This window comes from Homo sapiens, chromosome 2, assembly GCF_000001405.40.
Source record: "Homo sapiens chromosome 2, GRCh38.p14 Primary Assembly".
Lineage (NCBI taxonomy): Eukaryota > Metazoa > Chordata > Mammalia > Primates > Hominidae > Homo > Homo sapiens.
Window position 1 is genome coordinate 33,452,169 of NC_000002.12, and position 19,252 is coordinate 33,471,420.

At 39.3% G+C, this 19,252-nt stretch overlaps 1 protein-coding gene across 7 annotated transcripts in view; it reads left to right on the top strand.

The window, feature by feature from the left end:
• RASGRP3 (RAS guanyl releasing protein 3) overlaps positions 1-19,252 on the top strand; it is a 128,384-nt gene that overhangs the window by 15,821 nt on the left and 93,311 nt on the right. For 3 of the 7 annotated variants that reach the window (XM_011532748.4, NM_001349979.2, XM_047443877.1), the window contains exon 1: positions 5,887-5,962. The exons of the other annotated variants lie outside the window; for them this stretch is intronic. The gene's annotated coding sequence lies outside the window, so the exon portion shown is untranslated. Of the gene's footprint in view, positions 1-5,886; positions 5,963-19,252 lie in introns of those variants that run through there. 7 annotated transcript variants of the gene reach the window in all.

The following is a 19,252-nucleotide window of genomic DNA, read 5'->3' on the forward strand; positions in this document are numbered from 1 at the left end:
CACTGAGCTCTGTTAAGATGATTATTTTGAATTCTCTGACAGGCAGTTCATAGATCTCCATTTATTTAGGGTCAGTTACTTAATTTTGTTGTTTGGTGGTGGTGTTTCCCTTATTATTCACTATCTTTGTGGCTATATATTGATGTCTATGCATATGAAGAAGTAAGCACCTGTTCTACCTTTTACATATTGGCTTTGGAAAGCTCTCACCAGTCTATCTAGAGATTCTGGGTGGGTTGTTTGGTGGAATCTGAGGGCAGACTTGCTCCTGTATTCTCAGGCAAGTTGCCTTGGTGCCTGAGTCAGCAGGCAGGAAGGCCTGGAGCTTGCATCTCCTGGGGTGGGCCTCGATTCTGGGTTCATGGGAGTGAATCTGGACCCTGTGTTTGCAGGGGCTGGCCTGAAGTCTAGGTTCATGGGGGCCATCCTGTCCATGAGATGGACCTTGAGCCTGAGTTCATAGAGGCCCACTTTGTTCTAGGATGGGCCTGGAGCCTGAGTCCACACAAGGGCTAGCCTGGTTACTGGGACTTGCCTAAAGCCTGTGTCTGCAGGGGTTGGCCTAGAGGTTGAGCTGCTGTGGCAGACATGCCTCTGGGTGTAGAGCCTAGTGCTGTTGTATTGGTGTGGTGCTTGAATGGAGCTGCAGCCTGATGCTATAGAGGCCTGCTTGCAGCCTGGGGCCATAGGGGCTGGCCCAGCATTAGGGTAGCCCTGGATGCCCTTATCCACAGGTGCTAGCCTAGAGCCTGGGATCATGAGGGCTGCTCTGGCACTGGATTTCACTGAAGTGGGCCCGATGCTGTGGTCCATAGCAAAGTAGGGTGTTCAGTTCACTCTCCTTCCCCCACAGGGAAGGTATCTTTCTCTGTGCTGTGCACCCCTTGGGGGAGGGATGATATCAGTAATATGACACTCTTTCTCGCCCTCTTCAATGTGCCTTTTCTTATTTCTGTACTGGGGTAGGCATGGCAGTATTTGTGCCCCAAGGGCCAGAGACATCAAAATGGATTAAGAATATTTTAAAAAGCAATGAGTGTATTATAAAGATTTTGAGCTTCCAGCTGAAGACGGGCTTAACACACACATTATCTACCTTTGTTTCCTTTTGAAACCCCATTAAGATGAGATCAAAGGGTTTTTGATCTCAACTGGGATTCTTTAGTTCTTGAGAAGGTACATTCATGCATGGATAGTTGTTCAAATTGGTGTTTCTGTAAGGGGATATGTGCTGGAAAATACTATTGCACCATCTTGCTGAGGTCTGCTTTTGAGGTGGCTCACTTATATGGCTGGCATGTTGGTGCTGGCTGTTAGCTGAGACTTCAGTTCCTTTCTTCGTGGACTTCTCCATGGGTCTTATTGGATACCCTTATAAGGTGGCATCTGACTGGCTTCTTTCAGAGTGAGAGATTCAAGAAACCAAGATGAAAGATGCAAGGTTTTTTATGACCTTGCCTTGGAAGTCATACGTCATCACTTTTCATGTATCCTATTGGTCACTCAGGGTCAGTCCTGATTCAGCATGAGCAAGGACTACATGAGGATATGTAAGGATCTTGGGAGGCCATCTGCAGATTATCACATGTATATGCCAAAATAATGTTATAAAAGATGTAATTAAAATTGATCTTATTTTTCTCCTTTGTACTTTTCTATACTTTAAAAGTTTTTTATGATAAACATATATGATTTTTGAAATTACACACATACAAATCAATAAAAGTGGGGGTTTTTTTGGGTTAAACAAGAGAAATTTATTTTTCACTATCCTGGAGGCTGAAGCTCAAAATCAAGGTGTCAGCAGGTTTGGTTTCTCTTGAAGTTGTCTCTGTGGATTGAGATGGCTGTGTTTTTCACAGTCATCTTCTTCTTTTAAGTAAAAGTTATTTTTTTAAAAGCCATACATAGTCCAGAGAGGAGTGAGTCAATTCTTGTTACTTTGATTTAACACTGATGTCAAGTTCAAGATCAAGGTGTCAGCAGGTTTGGTTTCTTTTGAAGTTGTCTCTGTGGATTGAAATGGCTGTATTTTCACTGTCTTCTTCTTCTACTTTTTAAGTAAAGTTATTTTTTAAAAAGCCATACATAGTCCAGAGAGGAGTGAGTCAATTCCTGTTACTTTGATATGACACATCAATGCATCTATACTTTTCTCTGTTTGATGTAACCCTGTAACTAAGGAAAGGAGAATTTTTATGGGAGGAGGGATGGTTTTAAATATAGAGCATAAGACTGGAAAGATGTGACCAAGGTAGAGGGTCTGGGGTAGGCATGGCAGTATTTGGGCCCCAAGGGCCAGAGACATCAAAATGGATTAAGAATATTATAAAAAGCAATGAGTGTATTATAAAGATTTTGAGCTTCCAGCTGAAGACGGGCTTAACACACACATTATCTACCTTTGTTTCCTTTTGAAACCCCATTAAGAAGAGATCAAAGGGTTTTTGCCCAAGTGGGAGATCACCCATCTCTCATCATAGCAGAAGGCTGGAAGTTTATTCTCTCAACAGGGTAAAATATAGGGTGTTTAGGCTGGGGGACCCTGGTCTCTGGACCAGGGCCACCTAAAGGCAGACATATTACACTTGAAACTGGAATATTAACTGAAAAGTTCTCCCTCAGAAAATATAACTGCTAATAGGTTGTAAGTTTTATACCTTGTATATTTGCCACAGAAAAAGGATTTTCTGGTTCTATGTCCTAAAAATTTGGGGAAGGGAGTCATTTGATTAGGGAATCATCCACCTCAATCACATGCTTATTCCTGGAATACTCAAATGTGGCCAAAAAAAGAGAGGGATCATGATTGGCTCAGTTTGAGTTACATGCTCATCTGGGCCAAGGTAGGGGGGGCATAAGGGGTGGTTGAATGTGGTGATGGAGGAGAGTGGGAATGTCAGGAAAACAGTGTCATAGATGTCAACTATAGCTTCTCACCCTCTTCTATAGGAGATGATGTCATGTAGGCAAAGATCCATGAAAGCTTAAAACAGTCTTATGGATGTAAGAAAAAAGTCCACTTTACCATATATTATGGTTTTTCAAAGAAGATTTTTCTATATTATTTCAATTCTTCTTAAGAAATTCATGAAACAAATATTGCCATTCTCATCTTGTTGCTTGATCATTGAGGTGAACTCATAGTAGTAATGTTCTGGACTCAGTTACTGTCCCTTGAGTGGATTAAGTCAGGGATGTATAAGAAGCCACATCTTTTGATTCTTAGTCCTGTGCAATTTTTATTTTATCATCCCAGTGATCAGGATGGGATCACAAATTTGTAGATAACTGGGCTGGGAATGATATCTGGAGAGATGCTGCTTACAGGCAATGAACTTCATTAATGTCCATAGTTTCCTAGTATCTCACCTACAATTCCCTCAACATCAGTCCCAACACGTGTAAAATCGATGGAGACTGGGAAAGTGCTGCCAAAGGCAGACCGCCCGAGGAGCCATGTGGCCTACTTTTGGAATAAGACTGAAGGATTAACTTCTGGGAAGGACTTTCCATCTGTTTTCCCGATAAGATTGATTAAAACCATCTAACCAAGTTTTGCAGACTCTATGAAAGAACGAATGAATTGTATCGTCTGGCCTGGTTTAGTTCAAATTCCTTAAAGGAGTTCTAGCTCCACTATTCAGGAAAGGAATCTTCACCATGACACCTCCTGGGGGGAGGAAGAGCAGCTAGGAGGTCCCAGAGGTTTGCCCCACCCTGCCCCGAGTGTCTCATTTTAGGTAGCAAGTGATACATCATTTTCAATAAACCAGCTGGATATCAGTTAGACAATTTCACGTGCATTTAATTTACCCTTCTGCTGAAATTATGGCATGGAAACATTATTTTTCTTTGCCAGTTCTCTTTGTCCCCTTTCCATTTCTCCCACCCTCTCCTCTTCCCACCAAAGTTACTTTCCTTTGTTATTTTTGGTATAAAGAATTTTCCTTCAATTAATTTCAAGCCTTCAGAAAAGCAGTTAAAAGAAGTTGAGTTGGGGAGAGGTATTTGATCCTCTTACTACACACATATAGCCCTACACCTGTGGAATTGAACTGAGTAAAAATGGATCTGTCTTTTCGTTTGTTATTTAATGATAGTCTTTACATTTTAATGGTGAGTTTAGACCATCTACACTGTGATTATTGAGATATTAATGTTATTTTTAATTTTCGATTTATCATTCTTTCTTTCCTGACTTCTTTTGGATATTTCAAATTTTCTTTATTCCAATTTTTCCTCTCAATTGCTTACATAATCCATATCTTTTGTTTTAGTGGTGGTACTTGCAACTTTAAAATACATACTTGATTTAACAAAGTCTAATATTAATATATTCAGTCTTCTGAATAGCATAAAGACCTTAGGAACTTTAAATTCTGATCTCAGTCTTCCATCTTATTCCTGTTGAAAATTTTAGTTCCACTCTGTTTTAAACAAGTTTGTTAATGTATAATTGACATATGATAATCCACACATATTTAAAGTACACAGTTTGAGGTCTTGACATATTTATATACCCATGAGAGAATCACCACAATTTTTAAAAAATTCATTTTTCTAAAAATAATTAATCCAATTCACACACAGGCATAACTGGTTGCATGTTACCAAGGTCTGCTAGTTTTTTGTAAACTTGTTTTACTTAAAGAGTTCTGTAGCTTCTACACAAAAGTAACTATGATAATCACCATTCGTCAAAGTCTACCAGGCATTGTGCTAAGTGCTTTCTATTTTTTTTTTTTTTTTTGAGATGGAGTCTGGCTCTGTCACCTAGGCTGAAGTGCAGTGGCCTATCTTAGCTCACTGCAGCCTCTGCCTCCCAGGTTCAAGTGATTCTTGTGCCTCAGCCTCCCAAGTAGCTGAGATTACAGGTGTGGATAGAGATGGGGTTTCCTTATGTTGACCAGGCTGGTCTCAAACTCCTGGCCTCAAGTGTTCCACCCGCTTCAGCCTCCCAAAGTACTGGGGTTACAGGTGCGAGCCGCCATGCCGGACCGCTAAGTGCTTTCTTCACGCTAATTATTTCCCATTGTTTTCTTCATTGTTTTAAATTTTTAATTATAGACATAATCCAAGTTTGTTATAAATGAATATACTCAACTAAAATTAGTCATATTTTTTTAAAAAAACCTGGAACCCTCTTTTTTTCTTCAAAGTGGATATATGTTTATGGTTTGTTGTCACTGCAGATATTTTATGTGCATTTGAAAACATGCTTTATTGTAATAAAAATGGGGCTAAATGCATAGTGTTTTTTTCAGCCCACTTTTTAAACTTACTGCATCAAGACCATCTTTCCATTACATCTTTTTCATGGCTACATGATGTATACAGCTTTGAATGAATGCATTAAGATTGTTTTGATGAATCGCCTCTTTTTTTTAGGTTCCTTCCTTCCTTTTTTTTTGATATTACAAATGTCACGTCATTTTTATAAGATAAAATCCTGATGCGGAATGCATTATTTGCAACCCTCACTGCCACCCTTTGAGTTGGGTATTATCATTTCCCTTTCACAAATGAGGAATTTTATTCTTAAAGGCTTAAGTGACTTACTTGGCTCTTACGTGACTGATTGGGGAACGAGAATCCTGGTTTCCTGTTCCTGGTGGGCAGTGTTCTTAACCCTCACCACACTACCTCTCCTACTACTTCAGAAAATGGTTAAAAAAAGTTTTAAAGTATATTTATAGTGAAATTGTCAGGAGGATTACTGAGAATTTTCAGCAAATAGTCACCTATGGAATTAGAATGCAGAGGACATATTTCAGGCAATTTATATTTTCACCTGGCCCTTCAACTGAGGACTCTGACGTGAGTGCTGAGGAGCTATTTATAGCAGGTGACTTTTGCGCACCCTGGGGAGGTTGTGAAATAGCTGTCTATCACAGGCAGCTAGGAACTGCTTGCCCACTTTTTTTTGTTCTGAAAGAAAGGATACAGACCATCTGGGCCAGTAAGTTGGGTCCAAAATCGGACTTATGTTTATTTTACTTAATAAATGTGTTCTTGAATCGTATGAGTTGAATTTTGGTTGGTTGAATGCCATTTTTAGTGCACCAGGGGTGCACACATTTCTTGTAATCCTTTAATGAGTAGCTTTCTAAAACAAAGAATGCTTTGGCAATGTGAATAATTTTCCCTTAATTTATATTGAATATAATTTATGATTTTTTTTCTGTGCAGCAGGGAAACTTGTGCTCAGTTGTTTGTGTTTTAGAGCGTGTTGGCTGGTGTAGCCATATCAGTTAACAGTAACATGGAATATATATGCTATTAAAAATATAGACAGATATATTGCAACCTCTCACTACAAAGCCCCAGATCAAACTCTGTGGTGAAGCCGTGTAATTCAGAAGAGGTGGGTATAGGTAAAATTCCATACCAGGAGGAGTATAGCTGTAGACACTGGGTGCCCCTTGTCCCTGTTTAGATAGTGGACCCTATTCCTGCCTCAGATGGTATGTGGAAGAGCGGGCTCTTCAGTTACCAAGGCCACAGTGCAGAAAATAGGGTAGAAACAAGTGAGAAGGTAACTGACCCTTTTTCCACCAGCACCATTGCATGCTGTGAAAGTATAATAAAGTATTTTTAGTCCAACCTTAACATTTTTGTCCTTAATAGCACATCAGTTCACATTTGCTCATTAAAATAAATTGTTTTTACCCACTCGGCAGTTGATTCCATGGCCTCAGTGATCTTTAGAGTTGATCGAAATTGTGGTATGTGCAGATAATAAGGACTAACTGGGGGCAAATAGACTCTAACTTTTAACTTTGACAAATTTTAATCAGTTAGATTTAAGATATATTTTTTAAAAAATTATGATTCTACATGAAAAAATCTAACATTTTTAACATAAATGATTTCATAAATATGCCTGGTGGGATATAATGCTGAAATAAATTTTAATGCCTCTCATATTACAATCTTGATCCTCAAAGTGGACATTTCTCGGACTTTTTTTTTTGAGATGGAGTCTCGCTCTGTCGCTCTGTTGCCCAGGCTGGAGTGCAGTGGCGCAGTCTTGGCTCACTGCAAGCTCTGCCTCCCGGGTTCAAGCCATTCTCCTGCCTCAGCCTCCCGAGTAGCTGGGACTACAGGCGCCCGCCACCACGCCCTGCTAATTTTTTGTATTTTTAGTAGAGACAGGGTTTCACTGTGTTAACCAGGATGGTCTCGATCTCCTGACTTCATGATCCGCCTGCCTCAGCCTCCCAAAGTGCTGGGATTACAGGCGTGAGCCACTGCACCCAGCCAAGACTTTTTAAGTCTATAACTTTGCATTGCTTTTAGTTCATTTTTGGAAAAATAACTGGAAATATAGAGCATTAAAGGTAAACAAAGCCAAACACTAATTAAAGTGGTAAGGACAGATTTTAATCAGTTTTAACTATTATAATAGGGAAAACAGTCTAGTGTGAACTGAGCTCAACTTTGATTTGTACAGAAGTGACTGGGCATTTTTAAGGGAGAATAAGGGAGTGGTGAGGGGACAAGGAGGGCTTCAGTAGAGTCAGGAAAGTGAAAAATTACAAAGGGTTGATCAGTATAAATGCAATGAAGCCAGCTGTGTCTGCTCGCTGAAAGTTGCTGAAGTTAGGATTCTGTCTTTCCAGAGAGACTGGGGGACAGAGGCCTTATCCTCTGGTGTTGACTGGAACAAGCAATAAATTTTTTTGGCAGCCTTGAGTTCTCTCCAGTTCTCTCTAAACTCCATATTAGAATTTGTTCAAGCCTCTATAGGACAGGATTGAGGCCTAGTTGAGAAGAGAGCTCAGAGGAGCCTGGCTAGAGTTCGGTCAAGGAAAGAATGTTTGTCAATTGTAAATGAATAACTTTGCAATCCCAATACTCCCAATTTTGGAACTTTATACAATGGAAATAAAAGCATTAGCAACTAAAGATACATGTACCAGGATGTTTAGTGCAACACTGTTCATAGAAGTAAAAACTGGGAACATTTCAAATATTCAGATAATGAATAAACTATGATATAACTATACTGTGGAGTAGAATGCAACTATTAAAAAGAATAAATCAAATCTATATGATTGACTTTGGAGCCAATATCAATGGCCATGATACATTATTAAGGGAAAAATCAATTTACAGAGTAATGGGGTTTTGAAAGTTGCATTTGAAAATAGAACCCCATACATATATATGTAGGAGATACCTTTTTCTATCCTATATTGGATTTTGATACAGGATAGAGAAAGATGTGTGTTATCTCAGTGAAATGAGAATGGATAGGAAAGAGGGTTATTACATTTTTCCTTATGTATATGTCTGTACTATTCAACTTGCTACAGTGGGCATGTATTGTTTTTTAGATATAATTTTTTTTTTTTTTTTGAGACAGAGTCTTGCTCTGTCACCCAGGCTGGAGTGCAATGGCGCGATCTCGGCTCACTGCAACTTTCACCTCCCGTGTTCAAGCAATTCTCCTACCTCAGCCTCCTGAGTAGCTGGGACTACAGGCACAAGCCGCCATGCCCGGCTAATTTTTTGTATTATAATAGAGACAGAGTTTCACCTTGTTGCCTAGGCTGGTCTTGAACCCCTGAGCTCAGGCAATCAGCCTGCCTCAGCCTCCCCAAGTGCTAGGATTATGGACGTGAGCCACCGCACCCAGCCAGATTTAAGTATTTTATAACATAAATCACACACACAGGAGTCCTGCTCATCTTATTTTATAAAAGGAAACAAGACTATGTGATAATGTGAGTATTCTGGCCATTAGTTTGTAAGTCTAAAAGGATTTACAGGAATTCAAATACCTATCAAACTTCACTGCTTAGGTTGATAGTTTTCGAGTGTTGCAATCCATGCTCCTCTGCATTGATTTCTCACTGCCACGCGTTTATTTCCATCAACCAAGAAGATTTATTGAGCTTTATACCACTGATGGTCTGTATTAAGGAATCAACACCCATCCCTCACTTCCAATCCCTTGCCTCTCAATTTGAGAAGTTTTACCCCAACCTAAACTTATCTATTACTTTTTATTCATGAGACTGGCAATCACAAAGATGAGCTTTGAGAAGACTCCTTTTTTAAATTAAAACGTTAGGGAAAACTGGAAATTTCTCTACCACTATTTTATTTTATTTTATTTTTTGAGACAGTCTTTCTCTGTCACCTAGGCTGGAGTGCAGTGGCACGATCTCTATTTACTGCAGCCTCCATCTCCCGGGTTCAAGTCATTCTCCTGCCTCAGCCTCCTGAGTAGCTGGAATTACAGGTGCCGTCACGACACTCAGCTAATTTTTGTATTTTTAGTAGAGGCGGGGTTTCGCCATGTTGGCCAGGCTGGTCTTGAACTCCCAAGCTCAAGTGATCCACCTGCCTTGGCCTCCCAAAGTGCTGGGATTGCAGGCGTGAGCCAATGTGCCCAGCTCCTGCCACTTTTTAAAATGCGTTTCTGAAAGTGCTTTCTTAGTTTATGCCTTATGATCTACAAATAAGAAATCTTGTAGCAATAATGTTAGATCCTCATTCCTCAGCAGATTCTTACTCTGCTATGGATTCCCAGGAAGCCGTAAGAATATTTTATCCAAAAGTTTTCTACACACAAAGTTATAAGTAATACCGAGACTACAGTCAAAAGATTGAGCAAATACAGTGTAAGTAAATCATGGTGCTATTTAAGAAATGTATGACAAAGGGAGTGATACTCCAGAAAAGGCGTGGAATAATGGAAATGAGGTTAAAAGCCCAGGCCTCACGAGGTTATAACCAAGAGGCTGTGATGGTTGAATTAAAACTTGAGCAAGGGGTTTGGCACTAAGGCTGGAAAACAGGACTTGCAGTTAGCTAGCTGGGTTTGGATAACCTGGTAATTAAAGTGAAGAGCAAAAGCGATTAACTGGAACATTGACATTGTTTAGAATTATGTACAATGTTGAGCAGATGGATTTGGTATCAAATTAACATGGCTATTTTATAATTACAGCCATGATGTAAAAATTCATTCATTTGGAAAGAGGAAAAAAAAACAAATGAAGAAAGAAAGTGAGCATCATTCTCCAGCCAGTGCTAGTGAGCTGCCATGTGAACCCAGAACAGCTTAGTGGACTCAAAAGGAGGCCTGTGTTGATTGTTGATTTAGAGTGAGGCTGTGATGCAAAGATGAGAAGAGGCAGAAGAAGCCTAGAGTTTGCATTTGAGAACAAGAGGATGTAGAGGTTTTTTTTTTTTGTTTTTCTTTTTTTTTTTTTAAGACAGAGTCTCGCTCTGTTGGCCAGGCTGGAGTACAGTGGTGCGATCGGCACACTGCAACCTACACCTCCCGGGTTCAAGAGATTCTCCTGCCTCAGCCTCCCAAGTAGCTGGAATTACATGCAGCCGCCACCATAGCCCGGCTAGATTTGTATTTTTAGTAGAGATGGGGTTTCACCATATTGGTCAGGCTGGTTTCAAACTCCTGACCTCAGGTGATTCACCCGCCTCAGCCTCCCAAAGTACTGGGATTACAGGCGTGAGCCACTGCGCCGGCCAGATGTAGAGTTTCTAACTGCACTTTTCCTGTGATTCTCACGAAGATCAAATTGCGCCCCCACCTCATGCATTAAGCTATCACACATTTCAAGAAAAAGAATTTAAATATTTACTTTGTGTCATTTATCCCTGAATCAGCTTTGTAGTTCTGCTTTGAAATAGCAAACTATACTAATGCTTGAATAGAAAGGAAATCATAATTCTGAAAATTCTCCTTATAGTATTCTCTGCACACTAAAATGATTCTCAGAAGAAATGCAGAGGTTGCCTCAGGATTTTTATTTATTTATTTATTTAACTATAAGAAACTCTTTTCAAGAATGAAAAGAATCCTAGAATCAACAGTGGCATTTCAGAAGATCTAGATTCAGATTAACTTTACCACTCATCTGCGTTTATAGGAGTGAGAGCCTCAAAAATGAATGAAACTTGCTGTCAAATCAAATAGTTTTGGAATAAAAATAATTGGGGGAGAAAGCTGTGTGTAAGTAATTATGCTAAACAAGGTGTTTTGTGGCATGAACGCTAAATTTTCCTTCTCAGGTTTTACTGAATCCAGCTTCAGCTAGAAATCTAGGCTAGTTTATAGAAGATGATTAGATGGACAGAGAATGTTAAGAGAGAAACACTGCCATAAAGGTAAATTCAAGTGAATTATAATAAGTAAATGCATTTATGCTAAAGCTAGTATGTTTTAAAAAGTGAATGAAGTTTAATAAAAAGAAAGAAAAGAGAAGAGATAAAAGACAGGGAAAAGAAAGAGAACTGAAAGGGGAAGATGATTGTTAATCTGGACCAATTTGTCTGGAAATTTGGGAGTTTCTCCAGGATGCTGAAGAAAGGGGGCCCACAGAGGCTGGGGTGTAGAGGCCTCCAGCAGCCCTCCTCTGGTAGAAGCTGTCTGCTCCTTCACTCTTTTTTTTTTTTTTTTTTTTTTTTGAGACAGAGTCTCGCACTATCGCCCGGGCTAGAGTACAATGGCGCAATCTTGGCTCACTGCAACCTCTGCCTCCCAGGTTCAAGCGATTCTCCTGCCTCAGCCTCCCAAGTAAGCTGGGATTACAGGTGCCTGCCGCCACACCTGGCTATTTTTTTTGTATTTTTAGTAGAAATGTGGTTTCACCATGTTGGCCAGGCTGGTCTTGAACTCCTGACCTCGTGATCCGCCTGCCTCGGCCTCCCGAAGTGCTGGGATTATAGGCATGAGCCACCGTGCCCAGCCCTTTCATTCTTTTTATTTGTACATGTGCATACCTCATTTTACCATGCTGTGCTCTATTACACTTCACAGATACTATGTTTTTTTACAAATTGAAAGTTTAAGGCAACCCTGCATCAAGCAAGTCTACTAGGACCATTTTTCCATTAGCATGTGTTCACTTCATTTCTCATTTTAGTAATTCTTGCAATATTCAAACTTAATAATAATAATAATTATTATTATTATTATTATTATTATTAGATGGAGTTTTGCTCTGTTGTCCAGGCTGGAGTGCAGTGGCGCTATCTTGGCTCACTGCAACCTCCGCCTCCTGGGTTCAAGTGGTTCTCCTGTCTCAGACTCCCAAGTAGCTGGGATTATAGGGACATGCCACCACACCTGGCTAATTTTTTTGTATTTTAGTAGAGTCGGGGTCTTACCATGTTGCCCAGGCTGGTCTTGAACTCCTGAGCTCAGGCAATCTACCCACCTCAGCCTCCCAAAGCGCTGGGATTACAGGTGTGAACCACCGTGCCTGGTCTTAAATTATTATTATATTTTATATCTATTTTGGTGATCTGTGATCAGTGATCTTTTTTTAAAAAAAAAAAAAAAGATAGGGTCTTGCTCTGTCGCCCAGGCTGGAGTGCAGTGGCCAATCACAGCTCACTGCAGCCTTGACTTCCCCTGCTCAAGTGGTCCTCCCACCTTAGCTACCCGAATAGCTGGGATTACAGGCACATGCCGCCACACCAAGCTGATTTCTTTTCTTACATTTTGAAGAGATGGGGTTTCACTATGTTGCCCAGGTTAGTCTCAAACTCTTGGGCCCCAGCAATTGTCCTACCTAGGCCTCTGCAAGTATTAAATGTGTGAGCCACCATACCCAGCCTGTGATCTGTGATCTTTGATGTTACTATTGTAAGTGTTTTGGGGCATTCCAAAGCACACCCATATTGGCTGGCAAACTTAATCAATAAATGCTATGCATATTCTGACTGCTCTACAAACTGGCCATTTCCCCACCTCTCTTCCTCTCCTCAGGCCTTCCTATTCCCTGAGACACAACAGTATTAAAATTAGGCCAGTTAATAATCTTAAAATGGCTTCTAAGTGTTCAAGTGAGAGAAAGAGTCACAATTTTCTTACTTTAGATCAAAAGCTAGACATGATAAAGCCTAGTGAGGAAGGTGTGCTGAAAGCCAAGCCTCTTGTGCCAAACAGCCAAATTGTGACTACAAAGGAAAAGTTCTTTAAGGAAATTAAAAGTGCTACTCCAATGAATACATGAATGACAAGAAAGCAAAACAGCCTTATTGCTGATATGAAGAAAGTTTTAGTGGTCTGGACAGCAGATCAAACCAGCCACAATATTCCCTTCAGCCAAAGCTTAATCTAGAGCAAAGTCCTAATTCTCTTCAATTCTCGGAAGGCTGAGAGAGGGGAGGAAGCCACAGATGAAAAATTTAAAGCTAGCAGAGGTTTGTTGATAAGGCTTAAGGAATAACACTATCTCCATAACATAAAAGTACAAGGTGGAAGGCCGAAGAGGGAGGATCGCTTGAACCCAAGAGTTTGAGGCTACAGTGAGCTATGATGACACCACTGCACTCCAGCCTGGGCAACAGAGCAAGACCCTGTGTCAAAAATAAATAAATGAACATGTTATTAAGTAAAGTACAAAATGAAATCTTAAGTGCTGATGGAGAAACTGCAGCAAGTTATCCACAAGTGCTAGCTAAGATCATTGATGAAGGTAGCTACATTATACAACAGATTTTCCACGTAGTTGAACCAGCCTTAAATTGGAAGAAGATGTCATCTAGGACTTTCATAGCTAGAAAGAAGTCCATGTCTGGCTTCAAAGCATGAAAGGACAGGCTGACTCTTGTTAGGGGCTAATGCAGCTGGTGACTTTAAGTTGAAGCCAATGCTCATTTGCCAATCTGATAATCCTAGGGCCCTTAAGAATCATGCTAAATCTATTTTGCTTTTTCTCTATAAATGGAACAACAAAGCCTGGATAACAGCACATTTGTTTATAGCCTGGTATACTGAATATTTTAACCCCACTGTTGAGACTTACTGCTCAAAAAAAAAAAAAAAAAGGAAGGATTCCTTCTTACTGCTCATTGACATTGTAGCTGGTCACCCAAGAGCTCTAGTGTAGATGTACAAAGAGATGAATGTTGTTTTTATGCCTGCTAACACAACATCCATTCTGCAGCTCATGGATCAAGAAGTAATTCCAACTTTCAAGTCTTATTATTTAAGAGACACATTTTGTAAGGCTATAGCTACCATAGATAGTGATTCATCTGATGGATGTGACCAGAGTAAATTGAAAGGAGCAGAATAAATTGAAATCCTTCTGGAAAGGATTCACTATTCTAGGTGCCATTAGGAACATTCGTGATTCATGGGAGGAGGTCCGATTATTGACATTAATAGGAGTTTGAAAGAAGTTTACCCCAACCCTCATGGACGACTTTGAGGGGTTTAAGATTTCAGCGGAGGGGGCTGGGCATGGTGGCTCAGGCCTGTAATCCCAGCACCTTGGGAGGCCGAGGCGGACAGATCACCTGAGGTCAGGAATTCGAGACCAGCCTGACCAACATGGTGAAACCCTGTCTCTACTAAAAATACAAAAATTGGCCGGGCATGGTGGTGGGTGCCTGTAGTCCCAGCTACTCAGGAGGCTGAGGCAGGAGAATCACTTGAACCTGGGAGGTGGAGGTTGCAATCAGCTGAGACTGTGCCATTGCGCTGCCGTGTGGGCAACAAGAGGGAAACTCTGTATCAAAAAAAAAAAAAAGATTTCAGCGGAGGAGGTAACTGCAGATGCAGGGGAAACAGACATAACGCTATTGCACACTTAACAGACTACAGTATACTATAAACATAAGTTAAAAAATTTTCCGTGACCCAGGTTTAATTAGAAGAGGATGAGCAAGTCTAGGAAAACTTCTATGGCTGCTAAGTCATTCTGGGGAGGTAAATGCTCAGGGTTTGAAGTCAGACAGACCTGGGTTTACATCCCTCTTTGCTGCTCACTCGTTGTGGGCAGGCTAGTCAACCTCACGAAAAGTCATCTAGGGGTAATAATAGCATCTCCTTAGATCATTACCATGAGGATTAAATGAGTGTTTTGCACAGGTGTTAGCTTATTATATATTAGTAACATACTAACTATATATATATTAATAAATTCTACTTGGTATTATATATAATAATTATGATTACTTCTATATGCCTTTCTACATGTTCCTCTTTTCTCCCAGAGAGATTTCAGGTACTTTGATGAATTCCTAAAGGCAATGCACATTGAACACCGGCACTATATTTTTTTCAGTTATTGATATTGGTTTGTTTGATTCAGGAGCTTTAGAGGTTGCAAAGTCTACTCTCTGATGCTTTCAAAAATTTTTCTTTCTTTTTATTTGTTACAGGCATGTAGCTAGCACAACTCTTATAATGAACTGACTGTGACTGGGTGCTTACCCTGGCCCACACATAGTTCAAAGGGAAGAACAAGAAGGGTAGAGAAATCTCCCATGATTTTTAGACAAGTGTTGTAAGAAAAAAAGAGAAGGTATCAAAAAAGTGTATGTGTCTGAAAAAGAGATTGCACAAGATAGAATTTACTGAGCTGGAGGAATATGAGAGAATGTTGCATACAAAGTCTCCTAAAAGGAAAGGAAGGCAGAGATGGGATGAGATGTGGTATGTGTTAGTGCTTCAAATTAACAGCAGGTTTTGCGTCCCAACTTGACGCAGCTTGTGTGGAATTTGGTGTAGGGCAAATGGACCCACAGCTTCAGGAGGGAGCTGCTAGCAGGGGAAGTTGTACTATCTGACAGTGCCTATATGAGATTGGTACCTTTTGGGAATTTCTACCTAAGGCGGTGGCTCAGATAGGCACAAAGGCCCATTGGGACCTCCCTGAGAAACAGAATAAGAGGTGCTCAGGCAAGACCACACTTCCGCCCTCTTCCTGTATCCTTGAAACCTTTCAGAGATTTGCTGTCAAATATTGACCAGAAAGTTAAAGAAGCAAGACTTGGGAAAAAGTGACTGGTTTTTCTAATGGATGGTGAGGCTTTTTCTTTCTTTCTTTCTTTCTTTCTTTCTTTCTTTCTTTCTTTCTTTCTTTCTTTCTTTCTTTCTCTCTTAGTGTACATGATTTGTTTTTTTCTCTTTGTGTAGATGATTGAAGTACTTAAGTGTCTTTGTAAGTCCAGTATCTCTTTTCTTATTTTAAAAAGATCTCATTAAAAAATGAACTAATAAATATTTATTATAGAAACAGTAGATAAATGCTGATGAGCATAAAGGAGGAGGAAATATATGTGACCCCCAACTCCCAGAAATAATCACTATTAAAAATTTGATATATAATGTTTCAGATTTTTAATATATTCACATATTTTCTTAGAAAAATGGGATTGTACTGAATAAACTTTTGTAACTTTTATATCTCACTTAATCGATGCTGAATATTTTTCCATGTTACTAATATGCTTCAACATTTTTTTTTTTTTGAGACGGAGTCTCGCTCTGTTGCCCAGGCTGGAGTGCAGTGGCATGATCTCGGCTCACTGCAACCTCTGCTTCCGAGGTTCAAGCGATTCTCCTGCCTCAGCCTCCTGAGTAGCTGGGACTACAGGTGCACACCACCATGCCGGGATAATTTTTGTATTTTTAGTACAGACAGGGTTTCACCATGTGGGCCAGGATGGTCTTGATCTCCTGACCTCGTGATCCACCTGCCTCGGCCTCCCAAAGTGCTGGGATTACAGGTGTGAACCACTGTACCCAGCCACTTCAACATTATTTTATAATTGCATAGTGCCATATCTTATGAATATGTTCTAATTTATTCAACTACTTTTGGCACCTAGATGTTTTTCTAATATTTTCTTAGTATAAGTAATGCTGCGTGAAATATCCTTATACATATGCAATCCATATTCTTTTCTTAGGATATATTTCTAGAACAGGAACTGCTGAGTTAAAGGGTATTCACATTTTAAAAAGCTTTTGACATACATTACAAAATTATCTTCCTCCTATGTTGTACGATTTATATTCTTTCTGGTAGAGTATGAAGGTGCCATTTTCCAAACCTCCTGCCAACACTGAGAATTTTCGTTTTTTCATCTTTGTCAAGTTTATAGATAATAAATTGTATCTTATCGTTGTTTAATGTATACTCCTTTTTTAGGGAAGCTGACTTTTTCATGTGTAGATTGGTCATTTATGTTTCTTCCCTTGTGAACTATTTATTAATATCCAGTTGTTAATTGTAAATGCTATTTATATGTTAAGACCATTAACCCTTTACCATACGTATTTCACTTTTGAATCTCATTTTATTATTTGTAGGTTAATTTTGATTACCGTTGGATTATATTTTACATATATGTTTTATATTTTATGGTTTAAATCGTGAACTTTTATCTTTATAGCTCCTTCTGTTGTGACTGTGATTGAAACGTTTTCAGGACAAAAGTATTTAATCATGATTAAAACAATTTTAAGATTATAAAACCAATCATGTGATTCTCTTCAAGTTTGTATGTGATTTTTTTTTTTTTTTTGACATGGAGTCTCATTCTGTTACCCAGGCTGAGTGCAGTGGCGCGATCTTGACTCACTGCAACCTCCACCTCCTGGGCTCAAGTGATTCTCCTGCCTCAGCCTCCCTAGTAGCTGAGACTACAGATATGGGCCACCATGCCCAGCTAATTTTTTATATTTTTGGTAGAGAAGGGGTTTCACCATGTTGCCCAGGCTGGTCTCAAACTCCTGACCTTAGATGATCTGCCCACCTCGGCCTCCCAAAGTGCTGGGTTTACAGGCATGAGCCACCGTGCTGCTGTACAGCGTTTTTATGTTTAACTCTTTAGTCTAACATGCTTTTACTTTGTGTATGGCATGAAGTAATGATTGCATCTTAATTTTTCCGAATAGTTAATGATTTAACCTGTTTTTGAATAGTTTATTCTTTTCCCACTGGGTTTAAAAACCATATTGAACAAATACAATAAACATTTTACTGTAGTTCTTCTATGTGTATTTCTGGGCTTTTGGCTCTGTTCCATTGCTCTAGTTCTTTTGGCACTAGTACCAAACTTTAAATTCACGTTATTTTTAGCCTATTTAGTACCTAATATCTCCCTTGTGGTTCTTTTCTAAAATTTTCTTTACCATTCTCAGTTTTTTATTCTTTAAAATAAACTTGAGGATTTTTGACCTGTTTGAAAAATTTATTTGGGATTTTAAGCAAAATTTGATTATATTTATAAATTAATTTGAGGGAGAATTAATATATTTACAATGTTAAGTTTTCCAGTACAGAAAAACTTTCCAATACAGAAATGTATCAAACTGTTTTTAATTTTCTCAGTAAAGTTACATTTTTAAATAGGTTATTCACTTTTTTTATTCCTAGAAATGTTATTGTTGTTGTTGCTATTATAAATAATACTATAACTAAGAATTTTTTTTTTTTTTTTTGAGATGGAGTCTCACTCTGTTGCCCAGGCTGGAGTGCAGTGGCGCGATCTCAGCTCACTGCAAGCTCCGCCTGACGGGTTCACGCCATTTTCCTGCCTCAGCCTCCCGAGTAGCTGGGACTACAGGCGCCCGCCACCATGCCCGGCTAATTTTTTGTATTTTTAGTAGAGACAGGGTTTCACCGTGTTAGCCAGGATAGTCTCGATCTCCTGACCTTGTGATCCACCCTCCTCGGCCTCCCAAAGTGCTGGGATTATGGGTGTGAGCCACCACGCCCGGCCAAGAATTATTTTCTATTATGTTTTCTAAGTTTTTGTGGGTTATATGGAAAATTTCATATATTTCTGTATAATTGTTCCGTGGCCAGAACAATTAATTTTGTATACTTATTTTGTATATTTATTTGTAACTGTTCACCTCACTTTTTAATTATTTAGAAGCAAATTTTAGTTTGTTCTATTGAGAAAATGAATATTACTCAATCTGCAGGTTGAATACTTTTGTCTCCATTTTTCTCATAAAATTCTTCTTTAGTTTCTTTTTCTTGCCTGGTTGCAGTGGCTCAAATGTCTAGAACAGTGTTAAATGGATGGTAGTGATAATGAGCATGCTTTTCTTGTTTCTGATTTTAACATTAATACTTCCAGTATTTTACCATTAAGTATGATGCCTATGTTTGATTTGAGATTTGAATTAACATGAGTATCATGTTAAGAATCAGTCTTTTAATTTTGTTTTATTAATTAAAAAATTGATATTGAATTTTATCAAATGATTTTTCAAGATTATTGTGGCAATCCAAAAGTTTTTCTCTGTTGCCCAGTCTGGAGTGCAGTGGTGTGATCATACCTTACTGCAGCTTTGATCCCCTAGGCTCAAGTGATCCTCCTGCCTCATCCTCCCAGGTTGGTAGGACTATAGGCATCTGCCATCACACTGGGCTATTTTTTTTTTTTTTTTTTTTTGTAGAGATGGAGTCTCGCTATGTTGCCCCTGCTGATCTCAAACTCCTGGCTTCAGGTG